The sequence below is a fragment of the Homo sapiens genome, chromosome 3, assembly GCF_000001405.40.
Source record: "Homo sapiens chromosome 3, GRCh38.p14 Primary Assembly".
In the NCBI taxonomy this organism is placed as follows: Eukaryota; Metazoa; Chordata; class Mammalia; order Primates; family Hominidae; genus Homo; species Homo sapiens.
This window is the reverse complement of record NC_000003.12, coordinates 127,205,308-127,232,267: the sequence shown is the minus strand read 5'-3', so window position 1 is coordinate 127,232,267 and position 26,960 is coordinate 127,205,308. Positions and strand designations below refer to the sequence as shown.

The window sequence follows — 26,960 nt, the reverse complement described above, 5'->3', positions numbered from 1 at the left end:
TTGGCAAAACAGCCAGAACCCCCTGAGTCCAGAGCAGGTGAGGAAAGACTGCGTAGATAAGTGGGCCAGAAGCAGCCAGCATCAGGCTGAGATGCCCTCTTCACCACAGCCACAGCAGTGACTAGGGACACGAGCAGTAGATACCAGCTCCCCAAAGCCAAGAGACTGAAGGCCCGCCCCAGATCTGCAGGTGCCAGGCTGCAGTGCCCAGAGCCAGCTGATGCAATCACCCTCAGGAGAAGCTGCAGGCATCCCAGGGCAACTTACACCTCTCCTGGCCAAGGGGAGAGAAGCAGGGAGGGGCAACCCACGAGGTTGATAGAATGGTCATCCAAGAGGAGACAGTTAAAAAGCAACTCTGTCTCATTAAAAGTGTCAATATTAAGGGCTTTCTGCTGAAAACAAAGTTGCCCTAGTGTTGAGAGGAAAGCTGGGACAGATGTGGGATAGATCTGGGGTCTCTGCCCACAGGACCAGCCTCCATATCCACCGAATGCCCCCACTGGTGATGCTGGGGCTCAGCCGGCTGCCCAGACCCTGTAGGCAATGGGCCACTTGATAGCTCTCAAGATTTCACAGGCACTTCAAATACAACCAAAGCCAGTGTCCAGGTGGTTCCCTCACACCTGTTCTGCTCCAAGTTTCCTGACCTCCCACTCATGATCTGTGCAAGCCAGAAGTTGGGGGCCATCCTTGACATCTTATCTGTTTTCCCCTTACACTCACTCAAAAAGCCTGGCCACTCCTCCTCACAAAACACATCATGGAACAATCCATTTCCCTTGAACTCGCTGATCCTACTCTGATCTACCTCCTGCTAGGATTTGAAGCCTTCTAACTGGAATCTGCATAACCACAGTAAGTTCTCCCTCCTAAAAAAATGCACAATAATTCCTTGATAGAATCTGAGCATCCATAGCTAAGTTTCCCATATTGTCTCCAAACTGTCTTACATAATTCATTTGAATCTAGTTCTGAACAAGGCCCACACATAATATGTAGTTGTTATGTCTCTTGTCCAGAAAAGTCTCTCCTCACTTTGTTTTTAATGCAATGACATAGTGCAGAAACCTGCTCAGTGTCCCACATGCTGCCTCATCTCCTTGCTTCCTTATGGTGTCCTCTAGCTTGTTCTTCTATCCCCTGGATTTCCTGCAAATGAAAGTTAGCTCTAGGACCACACTGTCCAATACTGTAGCCACTAGCCAAAAAGAGCTATTTAAATTAATTAAAATAAAATGAAATGTAAAATTCAGTTTTAATTTTAATAAAATCCAGTTGTACTAGCCTCCATTAAAGTGCTCAGTAGTCACACATGGCTTGGGCTGCCTTACTACACAATATGGATACAAACATTTCAGAATCATAGGAGTTCTATTGGACACTGCTGCTGTAGAGTTTGGATTAAATTCAAGTTTGACTTTCTTGGCAAGAGTCTTCCATTGGTGTTATTGTGTGCTTCATATCACACCTACCAGGAGGTGTGCATTGTCCAGCCATCCTACTAAGATGGGGATGGTGGGCTCAGTGATGACAGCCCGATTCCTCCATCATAAATCTCTGTTTGCCTTTTAGCTAACAGTTTCAATCATTGATGATCATTGTCTGAATCAATCACTTCATCAGAATTTGGAAAATGGTGATTTGCAAAAATTTTTTCACTTCTTCCATATTTATTATGGACCACAATCTTCCTATAAGAAAAATTTTAGAGAAAGATTTTTAAATTTAAAGCTAATTGCTACTTACCTACTTATATCCTTCAATAGCTTCCCCAAAATTGTAGGACAGGGCCCATACTTCCTTTTTTTTTTTTTGAGATGGAGTCTCTGTCACCCAGGCTGGAGTGCAGTGGCATGATCTTGGCTCACTGCAACCTCTGCCTCCCTGGTTCAAGTGATTCTCATGTGTCAGCCTCCCGAGCAGCTGGGATTACAAGCATGCACCAACACCCCTGGCTAATTTTTGTATTTTTAGTAGAGATGGGTTTGTGCCATGTTAGACAGGCTGATCTCGAACTCCTGACCTCAGGGGATCCGCCCACCTCATCCTTCCAAAGAGCTGGGATTACAGGCATAAGTCATCATGCCCAGTGGGCCCATACTTCTAAGGCCCAGTATAACCTGGCTCTGCCCAGCTCTGTAGCCTGTAATACACGGACTTGTCCTCTCTGCTCCAGCCCCCGGGGTCCTTCCAGTCTCCGAGTCATATGGTGCTCCTCCTGGCTCTGTAAAACCTGCTATCTCTGCCTAGAATGTACTTTCCAGTTCCCTTCGTCTCAACCTGGTTAACTCCTACCCAATCTTCAAGGCTAAAGTCACAGGCCCCCTCTTTGAGAAAGCCTTCTATGCTGCACAGACCAATAGGCTTCCCTGTAACGCTTCCTTTGAGCACCCTCTTTCTCCTCCATAGCCCTCAGCATAACATGCAATTAAATATTCTTTGTGTGTTATACTAATGTCTGTTCTTCCCTCACTAGACTCAGGTCCCTCTAGGCACTGACCATGCCTATCTGGTTCACCATGGTGTCCCCAGCACCAACGGCCTGGCATATAGGGATCCTCTATTCCCTGTTGAGGGAATTTGGTGAGTGAGCTGGAGATTGGTAAGTGGGAGCAGGGAAAGCTGTGAAAGGAACTTGTGCTTATGAAAATGGCCAGGGCAGCATCCTACACATAAACCCCGAGTCTTCCTGAGAGGGACTTCCCAGGGCAAATGTCCACACTGCTCAGAGCCTGAATAGGACTCTCACTGGGTCACAGAACATGCAAACCATGCCCTCAGTACAGTAGACTGAGGGGTGACATGGTCACTGTCCTCCAAGGCCACTTTACCTGGAAGGGCTGTGGGTCACAGCTGTCCTGGGGAGGGAACTGGAGAGCTGTGAACTCAGACTAGTGCAGCAGAAAAAAGTATAAATATTTATATGAGTGGACTATGTATAGTTCAATGCTAACAGATTTGCAAATCTTGGAGAAATGGAATATTGTAAATAAATTAACCAAAATCAATTCAAGAAGTGAAGGCCTTTGAGAAGACCACAAACATGAGCAAAGCTAAGTCATATCTAAAAAAGCTCTGGGCCCAAATGGTTTTATGGTTTTTTTCCAACATTCAAATAATGAGTATGTACTAGCCACACCATATAAACCAATGCCACGTTAACTTCCAGTTGTGGCTGGGGCTCTCAAAGTGTGGTTGCTTCTCAAACAAGCAACCTTGGCATCACCAGGGAACTTACTAGAAATGCAAGCTCTCAGCCTCACCACAGACCTAGAGAATCAGATACTTGGGGGCTGGGCCCAGCCCTCTGTGCTGTAACAAGCCCTCTGAGCTAAATAATGTAAAGTCTGAGAACTCCTGGGGCTAACGGAACATCTCTACTTTAGTGGTTTGGATTTCTCATCCGTCCTTACCCAGATATGGCTAATTCTAATTCTGCCTCACACAGCTCTGTGTCCAGATCTTTGCATTTTTATATTGGGCACCTTATTATTAATCAAAGAATTTTCAGTCCATTTATCTGCAATTTCTCAACTTCTTGTTTTGAAAATTAGGGTCCTTACCAAATGATTTTTTTAAATTATCAACTAATAGATCCTCATTATCAAAACCAGAAAATGCATATAAGTATAAACAAAAAAATATGATAGCACATGATTCTATCTCCCAAAGATAATCTATGTCATTATTTTGGTATGCACACTTCCAGACCTTTTTCTTATGCATAGATAACATTTCTTTCCATCACAAAAAAAGCAATGAGCTTGTATAAACTGCATGGTAACTTGCGTTTTTCATTTCATAATATATCATGGATGATTTTCCTTGTTAATCAATAAACTTTTATTACATTTTTCTCAAAGTCCTCACTGTGTAATTTTCTAAACTAGCCTCCTATTGTTAGGATATTTCATATTGATTAAATGAGTTCATACTGGGAAAGTACTGAGGACAGTGTCTGGCATCTGGTAATTGCTATATAAATAATTGGCTTCAAAATGTGTTAGTAAAAAAGCAACAAAAATATAGAAGAAAATGGCAAATCCACACTCTTCATGGGAGACTTTTTAACACACACTTTTGGAAAACTCCAAATCAAGTACACAAAAAATAGGGAAAGCTATGAGGACTGGAATAGCACAATCAAAAAGCTGAAGGTAGCTAGGTGGAGATGGACCTAGGAGAGCCTGTCCATCCTTTGGTAAGTGTCAGGTGCGTGCAGCACCACAGCAGTGAGAACCTCCACACCCTTCACCCAGGTGCCTACTGTCATGCTGCATTCTCTACCAGGGTCCTCTCCTGACCAGGGCTCATGGCTAACCCAAGAAACCCTTCACAGCCTGCTGTCTGCCCTCCCCACATCCTGGCCCTCAGGCTGCAGCAAAGCTCTGCTGCTCTGAAACTCAAACCTGCCCTTTTAACTAAACCTTCATCATGGCTGCGGTTACTTGGGCCCCCAGGTCGCTGGAGGATGGGACCACCTGACTCAGCCCAGTATCCTCCTGGCCCCAGCTGCAGCCACAGTGGCCTGCAGGCTCCTGGGAGGGGTCCGCTCCCTCCTCGGGAGCCTTGGTAGCTGGGCTGCGGTCTGCCCTTGAGGTCCCTGCCCCCTCCACCTGGCAGGGCTGACTCCCACTCCCTTCAGACCCTCCTCCTGGAGTCATTGTCCCCTGACTTCAGACAAGTAGGTCAATTACACGCCCTGCCCCTCTCCTGGCCAGAGGGCAACACAGTGTGGTGAGTACCTTTGTTGCTGGGATTAAACAGACGGCTGGATTGACCCCATCAGCTTCTCGTGTAAGACAGAGGTGGACCTTTGACAGGGAACCTGATCCCCTCGTCTTCCTGAGCCACACCAGTGGCCTTGCCCCACCCCCTCACATGACAGTGTTTGGCTCCACCCCCTCACGTAAGGGCACCAAGTGTGGGGCCTCAGAACTGCTTCCTGCCCTGGAGCTGCGAGGAGGAGGAGGAGGAGGAGGAGGAGGGGGAGGGGGAGGGGGAGGGGGAGGAGGAGGCGGCTGGTTCATCAGGGCTGGGGCACAGCGCCTGGCTGACCTTGGACCGCGGCGCTGCCGGGACACTGAAGACTGCAGGCTGCCCTCAGGAGCACTTCAGCACTAGAGGGCCTGCTGGGAGAGTCGGGTGTGTGTGTTCGAGATCTCAGGAGAGAGAGCAGCTTTTGTCAGTGGGGTTAGTCTTCTTCCGTTTTTCTTGGATGGGACATCCTGCCTCCCGGACCAAAGCTGACCTTGTTCATCTGCCTCCTTCAGCATCTGGGGTTCCCTAATCAGACCTTCCTGTCCCAGCCCCCGCATGCTCCCTCCCCTCCTGTTTGCTCTCTATCTTACAAACAAACCCAGTCCTCGTTACACACACACACACACACACACACACACACACACACACACACCCCTCTTCCCCACCCTTCCCAGCTGCCACCCCACCTACCCCTTGTCTCCCCCAGAGCAATGTTTCAGGAGAGCATAATTCAGGCTTCCACAGTGAGACTCCCCTACCAGGGAAGGAGACTGGAAGACAAGGGTCAGCTGGTTTGCAGTCTGGTCCTCCACCCATCCCGATCCTGCCTGCTGACACCAGCTCCCAAGTATTTGCCCCTCCTTCACCTAGGAGTGCCTTCCGGGGGTTCCCTTCCACCCACAGCTTCCTGTTCCAGATCCACCATACACAACTGAGGGAGAGAAACAACTTGCAGGGTTGAGGGTGAGTTGCCCTTTTTAAGTTTTCATCATTTACTGCCAAATTGACCTCTGAAGAGATCACGTGAATTTTTGCTCCCACCAGGAAGAGTTCAGCCAGTTTTCCCATTCAGTACTATCAACCTTTTCCATCTTGGCCAACCTTAGTGAAAACTGAGAGTCCTTTCTTTTTGTTTGGTTCTCATTGGTGTCAATTTCATACATGCAATGTAGAATCAAGTAGTATCACAGAACTGATATGAAAAGGAGCTGCCTCCCACCACCCTCCCAACTCTTTTCAGCTAATTATTTGGGTATCTACTTCCATATCTGCAGATAACATGCTAGCACACAGCTTTTAGTCCTAGGCATTATAGAATTTAGCTCATTTTAGAGTTTAGCTCCTTTACACCACCTCAATATGCTTGGACACACCAGGGATTCCACCAATTCCATCCTCCTGAAGCACTCTCACTAGGAACCTTCTGACCTGCTCCATCCCAGACCAGCCTGGCTCACAGCTGTCACCGGGACCCCTTACCTCCCTCCTGCATTGAGTCCCTTGTCTTCCTTTTTCTGGGTTTACCCCCTCATTTTGATGCTGTATATCCTATAGTAGTTTTCCCAGAAAGGAAGGGTACATAAGAGATAAACTTGTGATCCTGCCTATTTTAAAATATATTGATTCTAGCCTCACCCTTAATTTATAATTTTCCTGGGTTCAGAATTCTAAGTTGGAAAATAACTTTCCTTTAGAATTTTGAAGGCACTATTCCATTTTCTTTCAGCTTCTAGGACAGATGTCGAAGTTCAAAATCATTCCAATTCTGATACCTTTGATTTGTTTTATTTGAGGAATGTAAGATTTTCTTTGTACCTACTATTCTCATATTTCACAATAGTATTCATTATGTGGGTCTATTTTCATATATCTACTACACCCTGGGTGGGCTCCATTCACTCTAGAAACATCCTTCAGGTCTGGGAACTTTTCTTGAATCATGTCTTTGATTAACTCGCTCCATTTTCAGTTTTATTTCTGTAACCCCTGTTTTTCAGATGTTAGACATCTAGTGACCCTTTACTTATTTTTCTTCCACTTTTCACTTTTGTAATTTTGTTCTACTTTCTGGGGGTATTTCCTCAGCTTCATTTTCCAATCCTTGTGTGTTTCATTTCAGCTATTCTATTGTTCAAAGTGCCTTTTCCCCATGGTATTCTGTTTTTATTTTAAGGATATAGTCTTACCTTTCTGAGGATATTAATTAGCTTTGAGAGTTTTTCCTCTCTATATGTTATTTGTCCTCCAAGTTTTATTTTTTAGTTTTATTTTGTTCCCTGTCTTTGAGATAGCAGAGCTATCTGATCTAATAATGGCTCTATATTTGGTCCAGTTTTGTGCTGGTCTCTAACTTGCATGCTGCAGGCTTTCTGCAGAAGTACAGAAATGCACAGTTTTTGGCTCATGTGCATAAGTGAGGCACTGAAGGGCTGGTTGAGAGTCCTGAACCTGTGAGTGTGGCTGCAAGATTTGGCTGGGTCTTGCGTTTGGGGAAATGCCAAAGTTACTACCTTTAGATCTTTCCATTGACTGATTAACTGAGACAGTGTCTTACTCTGTCACCCAGGCTGGAGTGCAGTGGTGTGATCATAACTCACTGCAGCCTCGCCCTCCTGGGCTCAAGCAATTCTCCTGCTTCAGCCTCCCTAGTAGCTGAGACTACAGGTGTGCACCACCATGCCCAGATAATTTTTGTATTTTTTGTAGAGACGGGGTGTCACCATGTTACCCAATCTGGTCTCAAACTCCTGGGCTCAAGCGATCCTGCCCGCCTTGGCCTCCCAAAGTGCTGGGATTACTTTTAAATCTTGGTTCAAATTTTCCTAAGAAGGCTCTTTTATTTTCCCACCTGAAGGGAATTGGGCTGGCATGCTGGGAGCTGAGAGGAAGAGAGCTGGGGTCTCAGCAGAACGCAAAGATCTTCTCCCACCCCTGCCTCAGTTTTCAGTCCAGAGAAAATTTGAGTCTCTTCTGCTGGAAGAAGGAAGGGGAGGGCACGTGGCCATGTTTGGGGGAGGTGTGTCTCCCAGCTGGCGACTTGTCAGATAGTCCTTGAAAGTCTAATTGGTCTTCCGCTTTTAGTCTCATCTTCATCCCACTTCACGTCATCTCCAATCCCACTGCCTGATCCAGGAATTCTACATCTCCTGAGTGGCTCTGCAGTGGAGAGCGAGTGGCTTCTCCACATCCCTGCTGCTGGCTGAGGCTTCCGTTCCTCAGCGTCCTCCTTCTGCTCAGTCACTTCCTGCACGGCCATCTGCTTTCTTGCCACCCAAATCTCCTTCCTGTTTTCTCTCACATTATAGCTGTTCTTGTGGGCTAATGGCTTGTTAAATTTCCCTTACTGTTATGGTGGGGCTGGGGAGGGGCCATCATGAGTACATACCTGTCGCCTGCCATCTTTACCTAGAAGTTCAGCCCAGTCTTTTAATTTGAATAAGTTTGAACAGCTTTTCTCGTGTTTATTGATGTCTCATCTCCCCACCCAGCTAATGTGGCTTTCTTATTGCCATCATTTGGTCATTTCTCAGTGGAGTTGCTCATCGTCTTACTATTCAATACCAATAGCTTTTTGTCTTTTTTCCTCATAACTGAACATAATTTCTAACTGCCCCCATTTTGTTTGTTGGGGAAATTTTTCTGAGGAAATCTGATTGTATTCAGAGGTTCCCCATCCTCTGTGCAGTGATGGTTTGCACCTCGAACAGAAGGTTGCATCTGTGTGAAAGTGGGTGTGAGGCTCACCAATGGAAAGCATTATGTGGGTTCATCTGCTATGGTGGGGCTGCACCCCCTGCTCTCCCTCTCCAGTCTCTGTGGCTTCTGGCATCCAGGGAAGCATCCGAATACCTGCATTTACACCTGGATCCTGTCCACACGCTAACCTCATGCCAGTCACTGCACCTCAGGGCCCCCTCAGCTACTTGGGAGGGCAGCTGACTGCTTCTTCCCCTGGGGTGAGGGGATGGCCGTCTGCACCCCTCCCACATCTGTCTTCACAGTCACTGCTCTGGTCAGCAAGGGGGCAGAAATGAGCCCAGCTCCTCTCTCCCCTCAAGCCTGTCCTTCTGGCCTACCCCTCAGAACGTGTCCTGGAAGGAAGGAAGGGGACAGGCCGGAGCACCCCATTTCTTTATTCCTTCAGACTTTTTCTTCCTTTAGCCTTAGACTCTGTCTACTCTTAGGAAGCAGGCATTTTGGAAAGTGTATCAGTCATCTACTGCAAAATCACACTGCATAACAACAACAAAACACCCTCAGAGCATACAGTAAACGCCTATCAGCCCACATACCTGCGGCTTCTGACCAGGACCAGTCGTAAGTGTGGTCTGGCTCTCAGCTGGGGTCAGGCAGGTGTCAGCAGGCAGCTGCAGGCCATTTTGGGCTAGTGCGCCTCAGCAGTAGCAAGATTAGAATCACCCGGAGAAGTTGCCCAGCACTTCGAGGCTTAGGAGACTGAGCCCACCCGTCCTGGGCTCGCTCACATCGGCAGGTCGAGTGCTGTGGGCTGCCCCTGGAGGCCTGGGGTGCCTCAGCTCTGTGCATATGTTTCTCCTACTCTGGCAAGCTGACCTGGCATGTTCTCATGGCAGTCGCAGAGGCACTCATTACTAACACCCCCTTCACCCAGAGCCTGAGTGGGTCACGTGACATGGGGGCAGCTTACATCGAGGGGAAGGATCCGGGCCTCTAATGCGATCAGCTGCCTCAGGAGGTGTTGAGGGACACAGACTCAGATGTGGCCGGTTTCACCCAGACTGTCTTCCCCCAAACCCATGCCTTGCTAGTGCCCTGGTACATTCATGTGTCCGTCGCACCTGGCACTGTTCTGAGCTGTTTCTTCTCTTCACTTCCAACATCTGGTCAGGAAGGATGCTCTAAATGTTCCCAAAGCCTACCTGCTCCCCTCCCTCCCACTGCTTCCCTGGGTTCTAAGTACCATCACCTCTCCCCTGACTCCTGTCCAGCCCCTGACTTTGCTGGTCTCTACCCTCACCCCACTGCAACCAGAGTGCACTTCCGAAACAGACCTGCCCACTCACTGATGCTCTGAGGCAGGTCTCGTGGGGGCCACCCTGCCCGGGAGGTAGGTCGAGTCTCCCTCCATGGGGGTTCCTTCTCACTCTCCAAGAGGAGCCCCTTGCCACCAGTTTTCTTTGTTTGTGGCTCCAGCAAGGAGATACAGCTGTTTTGGGATTTTGCTTCCTTTTCTTCCTAACACCACCTCAGCCCCCCACACAGCTTTGCCATCAGTCCTCTGGGGTGCTTGTGCACCACATTGGGGTGGGGACTGGGGACTCATGGGGATGGGAAGGAATGACTCTTAATTTGACCCAAGACATTGCTTCAAAAAAAGACTGCATGCCCCCCAGCCCTCTCTATCACCATGAGCTACAGAGGGTGGTGTCTTGACCCTCCTGGACACTCTGGGGTGGCCTCACCCCTTCCTGAACCTCTTTTTTTTCTCTTCTAACCACTGTCTGCTCCACAGTCGGGGAGCCAGGAGAGCAAGCCCAACATGTGTCACCAGGCTTGGGGAGAGAAGATCCCTTCAACAATGGGGACAGCCACCTCCTGGGAACTAGCCATGCAGAAAAACCTCTCCCATGCTTCCCAGCCCTGGGAGGAAATCCACATACTCACAGCTGCCTCGGCCTCCAGGGTGGATGTGGGCTCTGCCGGGGGCCTCTGTGCCTGTGTGGGAAACAAATTTCTAACTGACCCGGCCACCTGGCCGGGCTTGCAGACAGCTGTGTCGTCCACTCCTGCATGGGTTCCCCTGACAAGCTTACCTAGTCCCGTGGGCTTACCCATGGGTGCTCTATGGCGGGTATCTCTGGATGGGGTATCCCACTCCAGCTGCTTTGGTGCCTTCGGTGTGGCTGTATCGAAGGGGCCTCCAGCTTTGACCCCTTCATGGGAAGTCAGTACCTGGCTGTCTTGGCTTCCAGCCTATTTCCTCCCCCACCAACTACCCCCAACACCCCCACTGCAAGATTCCCACTCATCTACTTTTCAGCTCCTCCCATTGTGGGCAAGGCTACCTCCAGCCACTGTCCCCAGGTGGGATGCCAGACTCCAGCCAGGGCTGCAGTTGGTGGAGGAGCATCCAGAGGAGCTCCCTACTTGAAGAAGTGCAAAGCCCCTCCCTCAGAATGGACCTCCAGGTGCAGTATCTGGGCGCCTTTGCCCGCTGCAGCTCAGAGCTCTGCCCCCTGCCCCTTCCCCACTGAGGATTCTCAGCTGGACCCTGGCTGCCCCCGCTTCTCCTCCCTGTCACCCTGCAGGGCCTGCCACTGCCTCTTTGAGTGCTAAGCAGCCCTCCAGACCCACCCACCAATCAGAAACATGTCTGGTGGAGCCCAGCCAGCTGTGGACTTTGTTTTTAGAAGCGTCTCAGATGTAAGTTCACTATCCTTAACACAGAGCAGATGCAGGGCTGCTCTATTTGGTATTTTTCTACCTTTTTTTTTCGTTTTGCCCTCTAACCCTCATACCAGCACCTTTTGTCCTCCCCAGCCCTTGTTCTGGGCCAGCACTCTAGTAGATTTGCTATTAAGTCCCCAAATATGCATGCATGCAACCTTGTGAAATGAGCTTTGCATGCATATGTTTTTAAATTACATAAATGACGTGCTATAAAAACTGTTGCTTTGCTCTTTATCGGCAGGCACGATATTTCAGATCGATGCACTGTGCTGTATGTACATTCTGTTTGTGGTTCCAACTGCTCTCAAGGACATCATCCCCCCTGCCTGCTGATGTTGGCTGCCTTCGATTCCCTGCTATAAATACTCCACGGAGAGCCCCGGGGAAAATCCCCACACCACCTTTTAGGGCTTGTGTGAACATTTTTCTGAGTCATGGGAAGATGATGCTTGATTTTATTTGGGACAGCCAGCAGGTCCCTCTCCAGAACAGCTTCTTCCACTTCCTACCTCGGCAGTGCCTGAGCTGCCCCCACACAGCGTGGCCTCTTGCTGGAAGCCCACTTTGACTGTCTCCATGTGGATAGGCACAAAGTGGCAAGCAAGCTATTGTTCTGGTTTGACTTCCTGTCAGCCCTTTGGCCTCCTCTGTCTGTAAATTATATAGAATATCTTTCAGTCATTTTCAGGATTGTAAATTCTGGATATCCATTTTCATTCTTAGGCCATGCAAATGTCTCCTCGGTGTCTGTCAACAAATATGACCTTTGCCGAGCGTTCTCCAAGTGCCACCAAACCCAGCATCAGCATCGCCTGGGAACTTGTGTGAAATGCACATTCTCCAGCCCCACCCTAGATTCTGATTCACAAATTCCAGATGTTGGGCCGACAACCTGTTTTAAGTCCACCAGATGATTCTGATGCACGCTCAAGTTTGAGGACCACTGGTTGCTGCTATTTCTCAATTTTAAAAAATTATATGTATATATATAAGTTTTATCTTTGTATTTTAATTCTATATTATTATATATGATATATAATACAGGTTACTGTTAATATATTTATTTAAAAATATATATGGCCGGGTGCGGTGGCTCACGCCTGTAATCCCAGCACTTTGGGAGGCCGAGGCAGATGGATCGTGAGGTCAAGAGATCGAGACCACGGTGAAACCCCGTCTCTACTAAAAAAAAAAAATTAGCCAGGCGCGGTGGCGGGCACCTGTAGTCCCAGCTACTCGGGAGGCTGAGGCAGGAGAATGGCGTGAACCTGGGAGGTGGAGCTTGCAGTGAGCTGAGATTGCGCCACTGCACTCCAGCCTGGGTGACAGAGAGAGACTCCATCTCAAAAAAAAAAAAATTATATATATATATATATATATATATATATATATATATATATATGACTTTGTAGTAAGTCCTCCTTTTTTTCCCCTTATTTTCCTTCCTTTCTTCCTTCTTGCTTTGCTTTAGAAGCCCCAAACACAACCATGAAAGTCCTTGGTCTCTTCCAGGTTGCACAGATCCCCTCTATTTTTAAATATCCTTACAGTTTTCCCTGGATGTTGCCTGGGAGTCCATCCTTATAGATAATGTTACATAAGGACCTGAACTTATCTTTTTCCAGGTCACTGCCAGGTCCAGTGCTATTAAACAAAGCATCTTCCCTATTGATTCGAGGGCTCATCTGTGTATGTTTCAGGCATTTGTGTGCCCAGGGGTCTGTTCCTGAGCTCTCCAGGCTGTGCCCCGGTCTGTCCCTTCATTCACTCTCTACTTCTGTTTGTTACATTTCAATGCATGTTGGTATCTACTAGGCCAACTCCTCACAGCCACTCTAACCCCTTTTCGCTTTACTTTTTCAGACTTGACAGTGATTTATAGTTCTTTTCTTCTGTATAAATTTTGAAGTGAGTTTGTCTAATTCCTTCAAAGGAATCCAACTAGATTGATTAGGATAAAAATGTATAGATTAAGTTAGAACAAACTGACATCCACCTTGTTAGCTTGCTCTATTCATGAGTATGTTATATTCATTCTTTTATGATCTTCATGGTGTTTGTTTTCCTTTAAAGCATTTATTTCTAGACATGCATATGTTTTCCTTTTTAATTAAAAAAATGTTCAATTGCAACCCTGTAAGTTCTCAGTTTATTCTGTCGGGTCTTATGAGATAATTATCATACATGAAATAATTCATTCAATAAATGCGCATAGAGCATCCGAGGTGTGCCAGGCATTGTCACAGGTGCTGGAGATAGCGTAGTCCAGAAAAGTAAGTCCTTACCAACGAAGCCTTCCATCTATCTGAGAAGAGGTGGGAAACAAATAAATAGCGGCTGGCGGTAAGTCCTGTGAAACAAAGAGTAAGGAGGATGCAGAGTGATGGTGGGTGGGCTCGGGGAAATCCTCACCAAAAAAAGTGACTTGAGCAGAAGCCAGGAGGAAGGGGTGGAGCGGAGGAGAGGGAGGAGTACCTTTGCCTTTTTCCAGGAACAGCAGGGAGACCAGTGTGGTTAGAACGCAGGCAGGGAGGGGTGGAAACAATGTCAGTCGCGGGAGTTGTCTGAGGGTTTGCACAGAGGAGTGAGGAGATCCACCTCAGACTGATGCCGTGAGACCAGACTGAAGGTGGAGGAGGCAGCATGGAAATGGAGACCAGTCAGAAGGCTGAGAGTCTAGGCAAGGTGAGGATGGCTCATCCCGGTGGTGGCTGTGAGGGAGGTAGGTACAGTGTGGCTCAATTCTGGATATACTCTGACGGTAGAAATGAAACATACTGCTGTGTTAGGTGTAGGGCTTGCCAGAGAGAGGAGTGAAATGACTCAAGAGCATTTGGTCTGAGCACCTTGAAGCACGGAGCTCTACTTAGGGAGATAAGAATGGCTCAGGGGGAAGCAGAAGGACCTGGAGCTCTGTTTGTGGCACGTTGAGTCTGTGATGCCTTCTCCAGAAAAACAGGGTTGTTGTGTAGGCAGCTGGATGCGAGTCTGGAGTATGGAGGGCTGGGCTGGGTCGGCATGCACATCTGAGAGTTGTCAGCACAGATGGTTTTCAGGTGTCAGAAGTAGATGAGATTTCCTAGGGAGTATGTGCAGGGCAGGGAGGAAGAGGGACAAAGACTGAGGCTTGGAATTCTCCAACATTTGAAAGTTGAGAAGATAGGGAGAAACAAGCATGGTGAGTGGGACAGGAAACAGGAGAGTGAACGAATTGCAAAAGCGACATTCCTAGCTCTGCCAACTGCTGCCAGCAGAGTGATTCAGACCAGGGCTGGCTTCAGGTTGGAGATGGCAGAGGTCATTCGTGACTTTAATGAGAATATTTTTGGTGGATGATGAGAACTTGAGTTCAAAAAAGCATGAGTCATATTAGATGTTAACACTGGAGTAAGCTGAGTGAGGGAAAACAAATTCTCTGCACAATTTTTACAATTCTTCTGTAAATCTAAAGGTAGCTTAAAATCAAACTTCTAAAAAATAAGTCACATGAAAAAATAGTAATAATAATTAGCAGAACGGGAGCAGAAGAAGCAGAGATGAGATCACAGAAATTTTTTCATAAGGGTTCTTTGTAAAGGGCAGGAGAAACACGGAGTGGATGCTGGAGGGACAGGAGCGGCCGAGGGGCGGTGAAGATGGGGCACACAACAGCATGTTTTCATGCCCACGTAGAGGCTCCGTGGAAAGAAGAAGTGCTGACAAAGCACAGGAAGGGAATGTGGCAGGCATGAAGTCTGCTGGTCCGTAGAGGAGGTGAAGTCATTGCATAGATGAGCAGCAGGGGAAATGGACCCAGTAAACACAGGAGGTTTAACTGCTTAAGGTTCACAGTCACGAGTTTAGGATGAGACCCATCATTATGGTGGTGGGTCTTTGTCTAGCTGTGTTTACCTTCATGGATGCAAGTACAGAGTAGATGGAGGGTTGGGTTTGGCTGGGGCTAGATATTGCCAAGTGGGCCAGAAGGAGAAAGAAAGACATGAGGCATGAGGATGATTAAACAGTGTGATGGAACACGGTGCGTCAGGAGGGTGAGGAAGCCCTCCCAGGGCCCGGGATGGTGGAGAGAAGGCGGGTTCAGTAAAGTGGAGTTTTAAATGACTCAGAGGATCATTGGAGTGGAAGATACTAGAGAAAGTGAGGTGGGAAGGTAGGGGTAACTGATTGGAAATGCTAAATTCATTTAAAAATGGATGTAGTTATTGGTAATGACAAGATGCAGGTTTGGCCACGGGAGTGGGTGGTTGAGATAGTTTGGCGGTGAGATGGTGAAAGTTCCTGGAAAATTATCCGTGTGGATATGGAAATTGCAATTCGAAGCAGGGCAGGAGAAGCGGTGAAGAACACTGCCTGGCCAGCTGCAAGATCATAGGAATTGACGACCATGGCGAGAGGGAGTAGCAGCGGCATAGTCAGATTATACCCTTGGGACAGTGGTGTGGAGGTGGTGGTGAGGACCAAGAAGTACCCGTGGGACACAGAGAGAAAGCCGCCATCACTAAGAGGTCAGCAGGGCACAGGGTCCCTCTGTTTCAGTAGGGATGCTTCAGGGAGTTCTTACTCCTCCCTGGGGATGTCCCAAAACCTTCTGGGGCTTTTCTGATTGACATGGTGTTAGAAGAGTGCTGCTGCCTTTTAATGGGCAGGGACTGCAGACGCTAAATGACTTACGTGTGTCAGCTGTCCCTCCCCGGGGAAGTGCCCTCAGCTTGCATGTCTTTCAGAGGCCCTGTTGATTCTCACAGAGGTGAGAACAATTCGTAGTTACTGAAGACTGACGGGTACCTCATTTTACATATAAACACAAAGTGTGTTTGCTGGTTTTAAGGTGCACCAAATGCTCCTGAATGTGACCTCTGTTCTTTCCTTTCCTGTATATTTTGTGTGGAAATGGCTGTGATCTTATTTCTCACATCCAGACTTAATCATAATAGTAAGGGAGACAGCTGACGACATGTTTTCTAGGGTGTCATGCCCACGTATTTCCATGGGGAAATACACATTTTTCTCCTATGTATGACAAGAGTGGATTGGCCTTTTTAAAAAATGCGTATGTAAGTTACAATCTGACTTTTTTAAAATTGGAAATTATTATAGATTCACAGGAAGTTGCAAATATAGTGCAAAGAGATCCCATGTTCCTCTCACTCATTTTCCCCAGTGGTGACATCTTGCCTTGCTAGAGTACAATATTGAGTCAGCAACTGAAATTGGTACAGTGTATGTGTATACTTCTATGCCCTTGTATCAAATGTGTAGCTTTGTATTATCGCTGCCAGAAGACACATCTTATCATTACAAGGATTTCTCCCATACAACCCCTTTCTGGTCACACCTCCCCTTTCTCCCTGTACCACCATGCCTAACTCCTGGCAACTGCTAACTGTGTTCCATCTCTATAACTTTGTCATTTCACCAATGTTCTATAAATGGGGTCATATAGCAGGTGAGACCATTTATATTTAATGTAATTATTCATATGTTAGGACTTAAATCTATTTTTTTTGTCTTCTATTTGTTCCCTCTGACTTTCATTTCTGTTTTCTTTTGCCTGCCTTCCTATGGATACTTGAACATTTTCTAGAATTCCATTTTGATTGATCTACAGTGTTTTTGAGTATGGATGTTTCATACTCTCCCTGTATGGATGTTTCAGGGGCTGCTCTAGATCTCACATTCCATATAGATAAGTTATCAGTCTCCTGGTGTCAATATTTTACCAGTTTGAGGCACATGTAGAAATCTTACCCTCCCCTGTTTAAAATACAATTGTCTTAAATATTTCCTCTACACTCCTGGAGAACCACATCAGACAATGTTATACTTTCCGCTTCAACTGTCAAACACAATTTAGGAAACTCAAGAAGAGTAGCAGTTTATTGCAGTTACCCTATTTTAGCTGCTTCCTTCCTGAGGTTCCAAGATTCCATCTTTCATCATTTCCTTTCTGTTGAGCCATTCCATTCCTTTCCGTTAGCTATTCTTTGAGGGTGGATCTGCTGGCAACAAATCCTGTTCGTTTCCTTTATCTGAGAATGTCTTGATTTCTCCTTCATTTGAGTTGACAGTTCTTTTCTTTCAGCACTTGAAAGATATTGTGCCGTCTCCCTCCAGCCTCCATTGTTGCTGATGAGAATTCCACACCACCCAAATTGTTTTTCTCTTACCGGTATGGTGTCATTTCTCTCTCATTGCTGTCAAGATTTTTTCTTTATCTTTGGTGTTCAGAACTTTGACTGTCATGTGTCTTGGTGTGGATTTCTTTGGGCTTATCCTGTTTGGCTGGCTCTGCTGCTTCAATCTGTAGGTTTATGTCTTTTGTTAAATGTGAGAAATTTCCGGCCATTATTTCTTTGATCTCTTTTTCAACCACCCCCCACCTTTCTCCTCTCCTTGGACTCCCATAACTGAAATGTTAGATCTTTTGTTACAGACCCGCAGGTCCCTAGGCTCTGTTCAATTTTCCCCTTGTTCAGACTGGGTAATTTCTATTGTTCTGTCTTTAAGTTCATTAATTCTTGTTTTCTCCATTTGGCTGTTGAGCTCATCCACTGAGTTTTAAATTTTTAGTTATTATATTTTTCAGTTCTAAAATTTCTGTTTAGTTCTCCATTATATTTTCTATTTCTTTGCTGAAATTCTATTTTCATTTGTTTCAAGTCTGCTCTTTACTTTCTGACACAGGGTCTCACTCTGTCACCCAGGCTGGAGTGCAGCGGCACAATCTCACTTCACTGCAGCCTCAACTTCCCAGGCTCAAGTGATCCTCCAACCTCAGCTTCCCGAGTAGCTGGGACTCCAGGCATGTGCCACCATGCCCAGCTAATTTTTGTATTTTTTATACAGATGGGGTTTCACCATGTTGCCTGGGCTGGTCTCAAACTCCTGGCTCAAGCTGATCCACCTGCTCAGCCTCCCAAAGTGCTATGATTACAGGTGTGAGCCACTGTGCCCAGCCTCAAGAATGTTCTTAATTGCTCAGTGAAACATCTTTCATGTGGTTGATCTACAGGGTCAGATAATTCCAACATTCATATAATCTCAGTGTTGGCATCTGTTGACTGTACCTTGTCATGTAAATTGAGATTTTTCTAATTCTTGGCATAATGAGTGATTTTTGTTTGTATCCTGACATTTGTGGCATTATGCTGTGAGTATTTGGTCTTCTTTAACTGTTTTGGCTGGCTTCCTCTGACACCAGGCCAGTGGAGGAAAAGGGGGATCACCTAGTTCCAGCCAAGTGGGGCTGGAAGTCCATGCTGTCCACTTGGCCTTCCTTGGCCTCGTGGGGAGGTGTGGTGGGAGTCCAGTCTCCCCACTAGGCCTCCACTGATACCAACTGTTGGGAAGAGGAGGATACCTCATTACCCCTCCCTGTGCAGCCTCCACTGACACTGCAGGGATGGGGACCTTGTTGCAGCCAGGCAGGAGTACAAGTCCCAGGTCCCCACGCAGGCTTCTCCCATAGCCCGGTGGGGGTGGGGAGGGTGGGGGAAGGAAAGGGGGAGGGGTGCCTCCTTACAGCAGGCAATGGCCAAGGCCAAGGCTGCGTCCCCACCCACCTTTGCTAATGGAGTCAGGCTGTGGTTTTTCTATGGGGTTTGGCTGGGGAAAGGTACTTAATTGTCCTCATGTTTTCTGATTTGCTGGGCTGCCTCTTTCCTGGGGCTTTGGCTAGAGATAGGAGGCTTGAGTTCTCTTCTGTCTATTCCTACTGGCACCTCTGGGTTGCTGGCTTTCCCAGCACTCATTCCAGGTTATAGGAGGGAAAAGAAAACTGGGGAAATTTACAGCCAGGTCCTTCCCAGCCCCTGCCTTCTCCCCTCCACGGTTCCGACTCTTCTCATGTTTGTTTTATGAATAACACCCAAGGCTTCTGGCTGTACTTAGCAGGATGAATAGGGAGAAGTGCTCTACTCCAAGTTTGTCTGGAACTGGAAGTATCTGCATGTGTGAATTTTATTCAGAATAATTAAGACGGATGAAAGTGCTATTTAATATTTGGTACAAAAAAGTAGTGTCAGGCCCATTAGGCTTTGGCCATTCATTCTCAAGCCAGAAGGTGAAGGCAGCCTTGGAGATGAGATCTGCCAAGAGGTACTTTGTTGAGGACAGACTCTGCGACCTGCAGCACTGCAGGAGGATGAGGATGCTGTAGGGGGCTGGGACAGCCTAGGCTGTGCAAGGCCTGGCAGGTGGGAGCCCTAGGATCCTCTAGATTCTGCAGTTCCTTAAAAGGAATGTTGGATGGGTTCTGAGGATCTTTTGTACGGACTGTGAAGTTCGGCCATGTGTTGGGATGTGGGGGAAGGAAAGAGCTGTGCATTCTGTTGCACACATGGGGGTGTCGAGGTGAGCCAAGGGGATCCCCTTGGCAGTTCCTCAGTGGGAACTTACAGTGCTGACTTAGAACATTGGTCAGTATCTCCAGGACTAGGTGAGACCTACTTGACCATAATGTGTCAAATAAACTCTTGCATTTGGTGAGCTAAAATGGTACTTCATATTTTCACATCTGTGTTCTCATCTTGTCCACTTCTGACAACCAGAGGTGGATGGACAGGAAGAAAGAGATGCAGGCATACTCAGCACACCATGGCGGCATGGGGTGGGGCCTACCATCACCCTGGATGTGTGTCCTGGTGGGGCTCCATGTTCCAGAGCCTTCCAGAAGCTTCTGCTTGAGGATATTAAATCTCATTGTGTGTCTGGAGGTGGGGGATGGGGGTTCCTATTCTATTCTTCTTGGTATTTCTCAATCTTTTGAAGCTTCTTTATTTCTGCGAAATCTTGGTCATTGATTCTTTGAATATTTCTGTCCTTTCTTCTGTGAGACTCCGGGATCCAGGTGCTGAGGCTTTCTCTGCTGCGCCTCTTCATCTTCCTGGTACCTGCTCCATCACTGTCCTTTCTGCATGCCTTCCAAGCGAGTTCCCCCACCTCATCTTCCAGCTCATTAATTCTGTTTTCCCTGCTATGAAGGCCTTCGTTGTCTCCATTACATTTCCATTCCCAGCATTTTCTTAAGGGGTTTCTTTGAACTGCTTGTTCCTGCTTCAGGACATTGCCCAGCCCTGCTACAGGGACTGATGTGCCACGGGGTCCTGCTCCAGGCTCTGGGTCTCCTGAGCTGCCTGTCCCTGTGTCCTGCACCTGAGTCAGTGCTCCCCTTAGAGCTCTCTGCCTCGGAACATGCTGGCCCAGGGTCTCATTGGTGCCATTTCTCACCCTCCTCCAACTGAAGCCTCAGGTTTGCCCACACCCTGAGTGCCGTCCCCGGCTTGGCGCCCCTGCCCCTCCCCAGCACAGCATTTCCCCATGGCCACGAGCTCCTCTCCCTGGGCTGTGCTCCTGGCCTGGGTGCAAGGGCTGGGAGGAACTCACTCTGCTGCTCCTGGAGCCACTTCTGTCCCACCTTAGTGGGGTGCTGGCATTTGGGGAGGGCAGAAGCTCTGCTGTTTTCCTGGTGCTATGAGCAGAGAGGCCCTCCTGGAGCCATGAGGGAGATGGTGAGTGCCCAGGGCTTTGCCTGGGTGCTGAGAAGTCCCCTTGAGACATCCTTAGCAGGAAGTGAGTTCATGAGGAGAAACCCATGGGAGAGATGGCAGCCTATGTGTGGCACTGTCAGGCTGCCACTGCATCCCTTGGGGGTGGCGGATTCATCCGACACATCGAAGGCTCATTCAGGACCATCCAGCCTCGGGGGCTGCCCTGCCGCACAGGCTCAACTCAACCTGGGGTTGTGGGTGCCTCAGAGAAGACAGCATCCTCCAGGCCAGATCCACCAAATTTCAAACCAAAACCTGAATTGAATGTCAAAGGGACAGGCTTGGCAGTGTGGGAGGCATGCATGGGGCTCAGTCGTCCTCCTCTGACCATTCCTCCCCAAAGCTTCGTCCTGCCTCGACCTGATCATGTGTTTGTTTTTTTTGTTTGTTTTTAGTGGACAAATCATAATTGCCTATATTTATGGGGTACAATGTGATGCTTTGACATATGTATACAATGTGGAATTATTAAATCAAGCTAATGAACTTAGCCATCACCTCACATACTTACGTATTATGGTGAGAGCAATGGAAACGTAATCTCTGAGCAATTTTGAAATAGAGGTTACTATCGGCCTTTCCTTGCCGGTGTTTCCCCCTCTGTGGAATGGGGAGGGTGGTGCTGATTTCAGCGGCACCTGCTTACAGGGTTAGCAGCTCATGGAAAGCACCTGCAACTGTGGGTGCCTGGAAAAGTGAGCCACAATCTCATTTTCCCACCTCCTGCTGCTGACCGCCACCAAGGAACCTCAGGGGACAGTCAGACTTGGGAAAGCATGGCATCTTAGCCCTCACGCCGTCTGGTGGGTGGTTAGTGTCTTTAGTGTCCCCCATCGCTCAAGTCAGCCCGGGGCACAACAGCCACACAAAAAGCTCTATGGCCATGAGGCGTGTGCTGTGACCCATCCAGCCCTAGCAGAAACCCCAGGATATCAGAGTGCCTGGATAACAGCCCCGCAGGGTGAGTGACTTGTCCAAGTCACACAGCAGCTCAGAGCCTGGAGTTAGCCCAGGCGCCTCCCCCAGGGTCCCCACCTCTCCCCACAAGCTCCACTGGGATTCCCCTCCAGTGTCCCTGCTGTTCTTTCTGCAGGTGAGGGAGGTGAGGCACTGCATGGACACAGGACTGCACTGCCCAGAGCCTGCGGGCCTCCTCAGGGTCTGGCCTAGGGTCCTGGGGCTGTAAGCAGAGGGTTTGAGGTAAGGCGTGGGGAGTCTAGGGCTGGTGAATGGCCCGCTCGGGGGGTGCACCCACAATGACTGTGCTGCTGACAGTTGTACGGAGCCTGGGGGACACGACTTCCTTCCCACTGCAGTGGTTGAGCTGCCAGGTAGCTTGACTGGGGCCTCATGCTGGGCTCTGGCCTCCCTTGCTCCCAGGTCACAGCAGGCTTTTGACAACTCTAATCCACAAAGGCTGAGACTAAGTGAGATCTGTGTCTGCCATGGGAGCTCTCAGGATTCCCAAACAGTCCCAGAGTGGTTGGGACTGGGGGTGCAGCCCCCGAGGAGAGTAATCCTCTTTCCGTCCATCTCAGCCCCCAAGTCCAGCTGGCCGCTCATGCAGGCACAGCCACATGCTTCCTCATGGCGCTGCTGGAGGGAGGGTCGGGTGCAGCACCTCTCAGCTCCTGTGGGGCTGCTCAGTGCCTCAGGGCCCAGAGGACTTGGCACAGCCACCATCAGCCACTTTGCACATGTCCAGGCAGACAAGCTTCAAGAGGCCCTCCCTGGCGGGTTAGCAGCAGGTGGGCCTCACAGTCCTGCCTGCACTCCAGCCTCCGGGGCCAACTGATGGACAGGCTGAGCTCCGGTGTTCCCCAGCAGGGAACACCAGCTTGTCAAGTCTCCAGTTAATTCCCGCTCTTGATAAAGCCCGGGGTGCCCCCACGCTGGCCAGCATGAGGGTCTCCATGCAGCGTGCACATGCCCGCACCCTGTGTCCCCCTCAGCCAGGTGCACCCTATGGCCTCTGTGTTTCACAGGCCTTCTGCCCCCACCCCAGGCAGTGTGATCCTGCCACATGTCGGGTCCAGATGACATTAGCTGCTAAAAGGTTTGTAGTGAGTGCCCGCCTGGTGAGTGCTGTTTCAGCTTCATCAGGGGGTATCTTGAGAGCAAGGTGCAGACCAGATTCCTCCTTGCATCCTGAAGTGTAGCACACAAATATTCTCCAGTGGGGCCGCACCAAAGGCAGTTCACAGGCCCATGGGGAAGTTGGTTAAGGTATCGGCCCTCTGGCCTTCTCCTGCATAAAGGCTCGCTCTGGCAAAGGCAGATGTTCCAGCACATCACAGCCACCACCACATCCTCCCCACCAAAGCCTGGACAGAGGACAGCTTAGGGCACAATATTCTAGCCAATCAACAGACCTCCAGTGGTGATTTCCCAGGGATAGCCCACTCTCAGCATCTGTTATGCAGATTAACAAGCCACCAATTCCACCTTTGAAAACTGATTTCTAACCCTTGTAAATAAAGCAAACTGGCCGAGCCTCTGGGGTGGATGACACAGACAGATGAGGTACCAGTGGCAGCCACTTTGCAGTGTGACTTTTCTTAGGAAACAATGGCTGCAAGGCCAGAGTCTGAATACTTAACTAGGCCACACGCCTCTGGGGTGTTACACCACACAGCCCATAGGCATGATGTCATTGCTGAAATGTCACAGAGACCTTCGGTCATAGGCATCCTAGGGCCATTCTAGTCTGGGCCTCACAGGAGGGGCTGTGGGTTGTGGTCACTCTGCCCACTGCTCCCTGACCTCCAGCCCGGGCCTGGCTCCTGAGCGTGAGCCCCGGGCCCCACTGCAGCCTGGATTCTCCACCTGCCATCCAGCTCAGGCTGGACACCTGACGACCATCCTGGCAGCCTGCCTGCTTGCGGCTCCCCAGTCCTCACTCCTGCCTGCCAGCAGCGACTGAAGGTGTTGGCATCTGTGACTTCGATGGGGCCGGCAGGGTGGGCTTCCCCAGCCCTTTCTCTATTCACACAGTCAGAGGGAACGCTGCAGCCCGTACCCTCGCCTGCTGTCATGTCTGCATCCTGCCTGCTCACACCCCTCGTGTAGGGGCACAAGATCAACTGGGCCATTACCTCCTCCAGAAGCTTCCACAGTGGCAGGGAAGATGGGCTGGGAACCAGGCAGCCACAGGGGTGGGTGTGCAAGAAGCGTTCAGGGGAGCACTGGGGGCTGCACGGGAGCAAGTTGGGGGGCAAGTGGCTTCCCTGGGGTGACAGGGATTTGGTATTTTAGATGCCTTGGCTGAGTGACCCTAAAGCCTCTGGCCTCTTTGACTCAGTCCTGGCCTGTAAAGTGGCGATGACAAGCAAACCTCCTCAAGCTGCTGTGCTGGTGAAGGTGCTCATAGGCACAGGCCTCAGCATGTGGCCAGCAGCTGGGGATCAGTCCTTGTCAGCTGCTGCTGTTCTTCTCATGACCGCTATCATTGTTAGGGTAAGTTGGGGAAGGCCGGCTCTGTCTCTTCTTACAGTGGCAGAGGCCCTAACCTCTTCATGCCTCAGTTTCTTCATCTGGAAAATGGTGCTAGTGCCACCCATACTGCAGGATTAAATGTGTGAACTGGGGTGCAGTGCTTTCCTCCCACACAGTGTGGGTGCTGGCACCCTTGGTCTGCCTGGGAGCCAGGTTCAGGGGCACTTGTGCTGGGTACACTGGGCCAGGCAGAGCATCACTGGGACTCGAGCAAGGGAAGGCCATGGTCAGAAATGTTTCACACGATGCCTCTCCAGAAAGAAAAAGGGCAGCTCCTCCCATCCAGAAGCTGGCCAGGCACTTACAGCTGGGTCCACTCTATTAGACGTTAACCATTGCACAGAAGACCAACCAAGGCCAAGGTCACTGAGACATGATGACATGAGACAAAGCAAGGCCACTTCATGATGTGTCTCTGCCCAAAGTGAGGTCACTTGCTGTGCCACCCACAAAATACCAAGCAACCACTCTTTCAGCCAAAGTAAGCAACTGCCACTTCTGTCCCCCTGACAGCCTGTCTACATGCACCCCCTCTATAGATAGGATTTAGCCAGAAACCCAGTCGTGGCATTGACCCACTTTTTGCAATAGCCAATCTGAGCCAACCCCTGTGCTTAGAGTCCCCAAAATCACCCAAACCCAGGGGTAGTTTCTTTCTAGCACACCACCCGGGGCCTGGACAGTGGCAGGCCTGCTCCGCCCTGCAGCTCAGCCCTCTCCAGGCAGGTGTGCCAGCCCTCAGAGGCCCCCTCTGCTTCCCACTGCTGCCCTTCCACAGGGCACAGCCTGTCCCTCCAAGAGACAAATCCCTCGAAGTTTTATAAACCAAGCGAATTTAATTCAGAGAATAAGTTCTCTGGGTGATGGAATTGCTGGGAAGCCTGATGGGACAGTGATCAGCTCGGTCAACCATGGCCGGAAGCCACCATTGCTGCAAGGCTGAGGAGACAATGGAGGGAAATGATATTGCCAGGACCTGCACGTCAGGGCATCGAGAGGGAGCCAGGCCACAGCAGGGGCTGCCCAGGGGAGCCAGAGCCCAAGAGGCAGAGAGAGGAGGGGAAGACACCCTGGCTTCTCCCCTTCCTCTCACCCTCTCGCCAACGCCTGCCAGGAAGCCACTTGGCAAGGGAGCCTGGGAGCTGTAGGTCTTTCGTGCAGAGCCCAGCAGAAGGACAACAGGGGCAAACTGATAGCTGCCCAGCCCCCAGGCCCAGGGCGAGGTGTGTGCACCCCTGCCCCTGCCCCTGGCCCTGGCCCTGCCTCTGACCCTGCCCCTGGTCCTGGCCCTGCCCCTACCCCTGTCCCTGGCCCTGGCCCTGCCCTTGAAAGTCGACTCCTTCAACCCTGGGCCATGTGAGCATCTCACAGGGGAGGCTGGGGCAGTCCAGGCCGTTGGTAGAGGTTAGGGGGACAGCTTCCCTGGCTCTGGCCAGCCAACATGTCCAAGAGAGGAGCTGCCCAGAGGTGGAGGGTGCCCCATCCTCAGGGTGTCCTAGGGGAGGCCAGCTGGGCTTCAACCCCAGCACAGAGATAGAGTGTGAGTGGGGAAACTGAGTCAGAAACCTATGAAGAAGGGAGCCAGGGACAGGGTGCTCCTGTTGCTCTTCCAATGCTGGGTTCCACCGACTGGGAAAGGAAGCAGAGACTTCATTTCTTATCTCTGCCCCGTACCCTGGGCAGAACCGAAACTCCATGTGGGGAACTTGGGGCAGACAGGAGTGGATGTGGCTAAGGCCAGAGATTCTAGGTCTGTCCTCCAGAGCTCAGGCTCTGCAACAAGGGGGAATCAGGGACCCAGTGTGCTTCTTGTGGCCTCTTAGAGCTGAGGGTTGGACTGTAACACCAACACCTACCAATCTCTCTTTTTAGCAAAGCAAGTCTAGGCTTGAGACCGACACCTTCAGCCAGTCAGAATGTAATCACATTGTTCTGTTTTCACTGTATCTAGTTTTATATTCTACATCTGGTAAGTGACGCTGAAATTTCCTTTAGTGATTAGATTTAACATGTAGTGCATCTATTGAAAAGGCGTTACAGCCGTGCACAGTGGCTCATACCTGTAATCCCAACACTTGGGGAGGCTAAGGCTGGTGGATCACTTGAGCCCAGGAGTTTGAGACCAGCCTGGGCAATACAAAAATTAGCCAGGCCTGGTGGCACATATCTGTAGTCCCAGTCACTCAGGAGGCTGAGGTGGGAGGATCACCTGTTTAGGGAGGTTGAGGCTGCAATGAGCCATGATTGCACCATTGCACTTCAGCCTGGGTGTCAGGAAGAGACCCTGTCTCAAAAAAAAAAAAAAAAGGGGGATTATATGGAGTAACAAAAGCTAATTTAAAATAAAATATATCACCTGTGACTCAAGTCTTGAAAAAAGTATTATATAAAGTACAAGAACAGGGAGAAGCTCTAATGTGGGCATAGGAATGCCAGGAGTTTGGAAAGGAATTAACTATCTAAATATCGCCCTGTGGAAAGGCAAGTGCATGAGCCTGTGGAGGGTGTGAGTGGAGGTGAGGTGGAGGGCGTGCAGGCTGGTGGCAGGACAGGCCCAGGACCAGCTTTGCCCCTGCTCTGTGCTGTCTCCACTCCTGAGTGGTTTGGCACTCACGCCGGCCCACATCTGCTTTCCTCCCCTTCCTGGTTGTAGCACACGGCTCATCACTCCTGACCCATAGAAACACCAGCCTCTTGTGCTCCTTGGAGGAAGTGGCTCTGGAG

General features: G+C 49.5%; 1 pseudogene, besides 6 other annotated features; it reads left to right on the top strand.

Moving 5' to 3' along the window:
* Positions 4,861-4,970: a silencer, noted in NCBI's record as "silent region_14685". NCBI's record gives its function as "represses an Ori minimal core promoter by ATAC-STARR-seq in GM12878 lymphoblastoid cells {active_cell/tissue: GM12878}" and the evidence as "EXISTENCE:reporter gene assay evidence [ECO:0000049][PMID:35858748]".
* Positions 7,931-8,110: an enhancer, noted in NCBI's record as "active region_20454". NCBI's record gives its function as "activates an Ori minimal core promoter by ATAC-STARR-seq in GM12878 lymphoblastoid cells {active_cell/tissue: GM12878}" and the evidence as "EXISTENCE:reporter gene assay evidence [ECO:0000049][PMID:35858748]".
* Positions 8,729-11,079, top strand: PRR23E2P (PRR23 family member E2, pseudogene; annotated as a pseudogene).
* Positions 11,448-11,637: an enhancer, noted in NCBI's record as "active region_20453". NCBI's record gives its function as "activates an Ori minimal core promoter by ATAC-STARR-seq in GM12878 lymphoblastoid cells {active_cell/tissue: GM12878}" and the evidence as "EXISTENCE:reporter gene assay evidence [ECO:0000049][PMID:35858748]".
* Positions 11,658-11,837: an enhancer, noted in NCBI's record as "active region_20452". NCBI's record gives its function as "activates an Ori minimal core promoter by ATAC-STARR-seq in GM12878 lymphoblastoid cells {active_cell/tissue: GM12878}" and the evidence as "EXISTENCE:reporter gene assay evidence [ECO:0000049][PMID:35858748]".
* Positions 15,519-15,618: an enhancer, noted in NCBI's record as "active region_20451". NCBI's record gives its function as "activates an Ori minimal core promoter by ATAC-STARR-seq in GM12878 lymphoblastoid cells {active_cell/tissue: GM12878}" and the evidence as "EXISTENCE:reporter gene assay evidence [ECO:0000049][PMID:35858748]".
* Positions 24,041-24,207: a silencer, noted in NCBI's record as "fragment chr3:126926904-126927070 (GRCh37/hg19 assembly coordinates)". NCBI's record gives its function as "represses an EF-1alpha promoter that drives an FKBP-Casp9 reporter gene in an ReSE screen in phorbol 12-myristate 13-acetate-treated (for megakaryocytic differentiation) K562 erythroleukemia cells {active_cell/tissue: K562(+PMA)}" and the evidence as "EXISTENCE:reporter gene assay evidence [ECO:0000049][PMID:32094911]".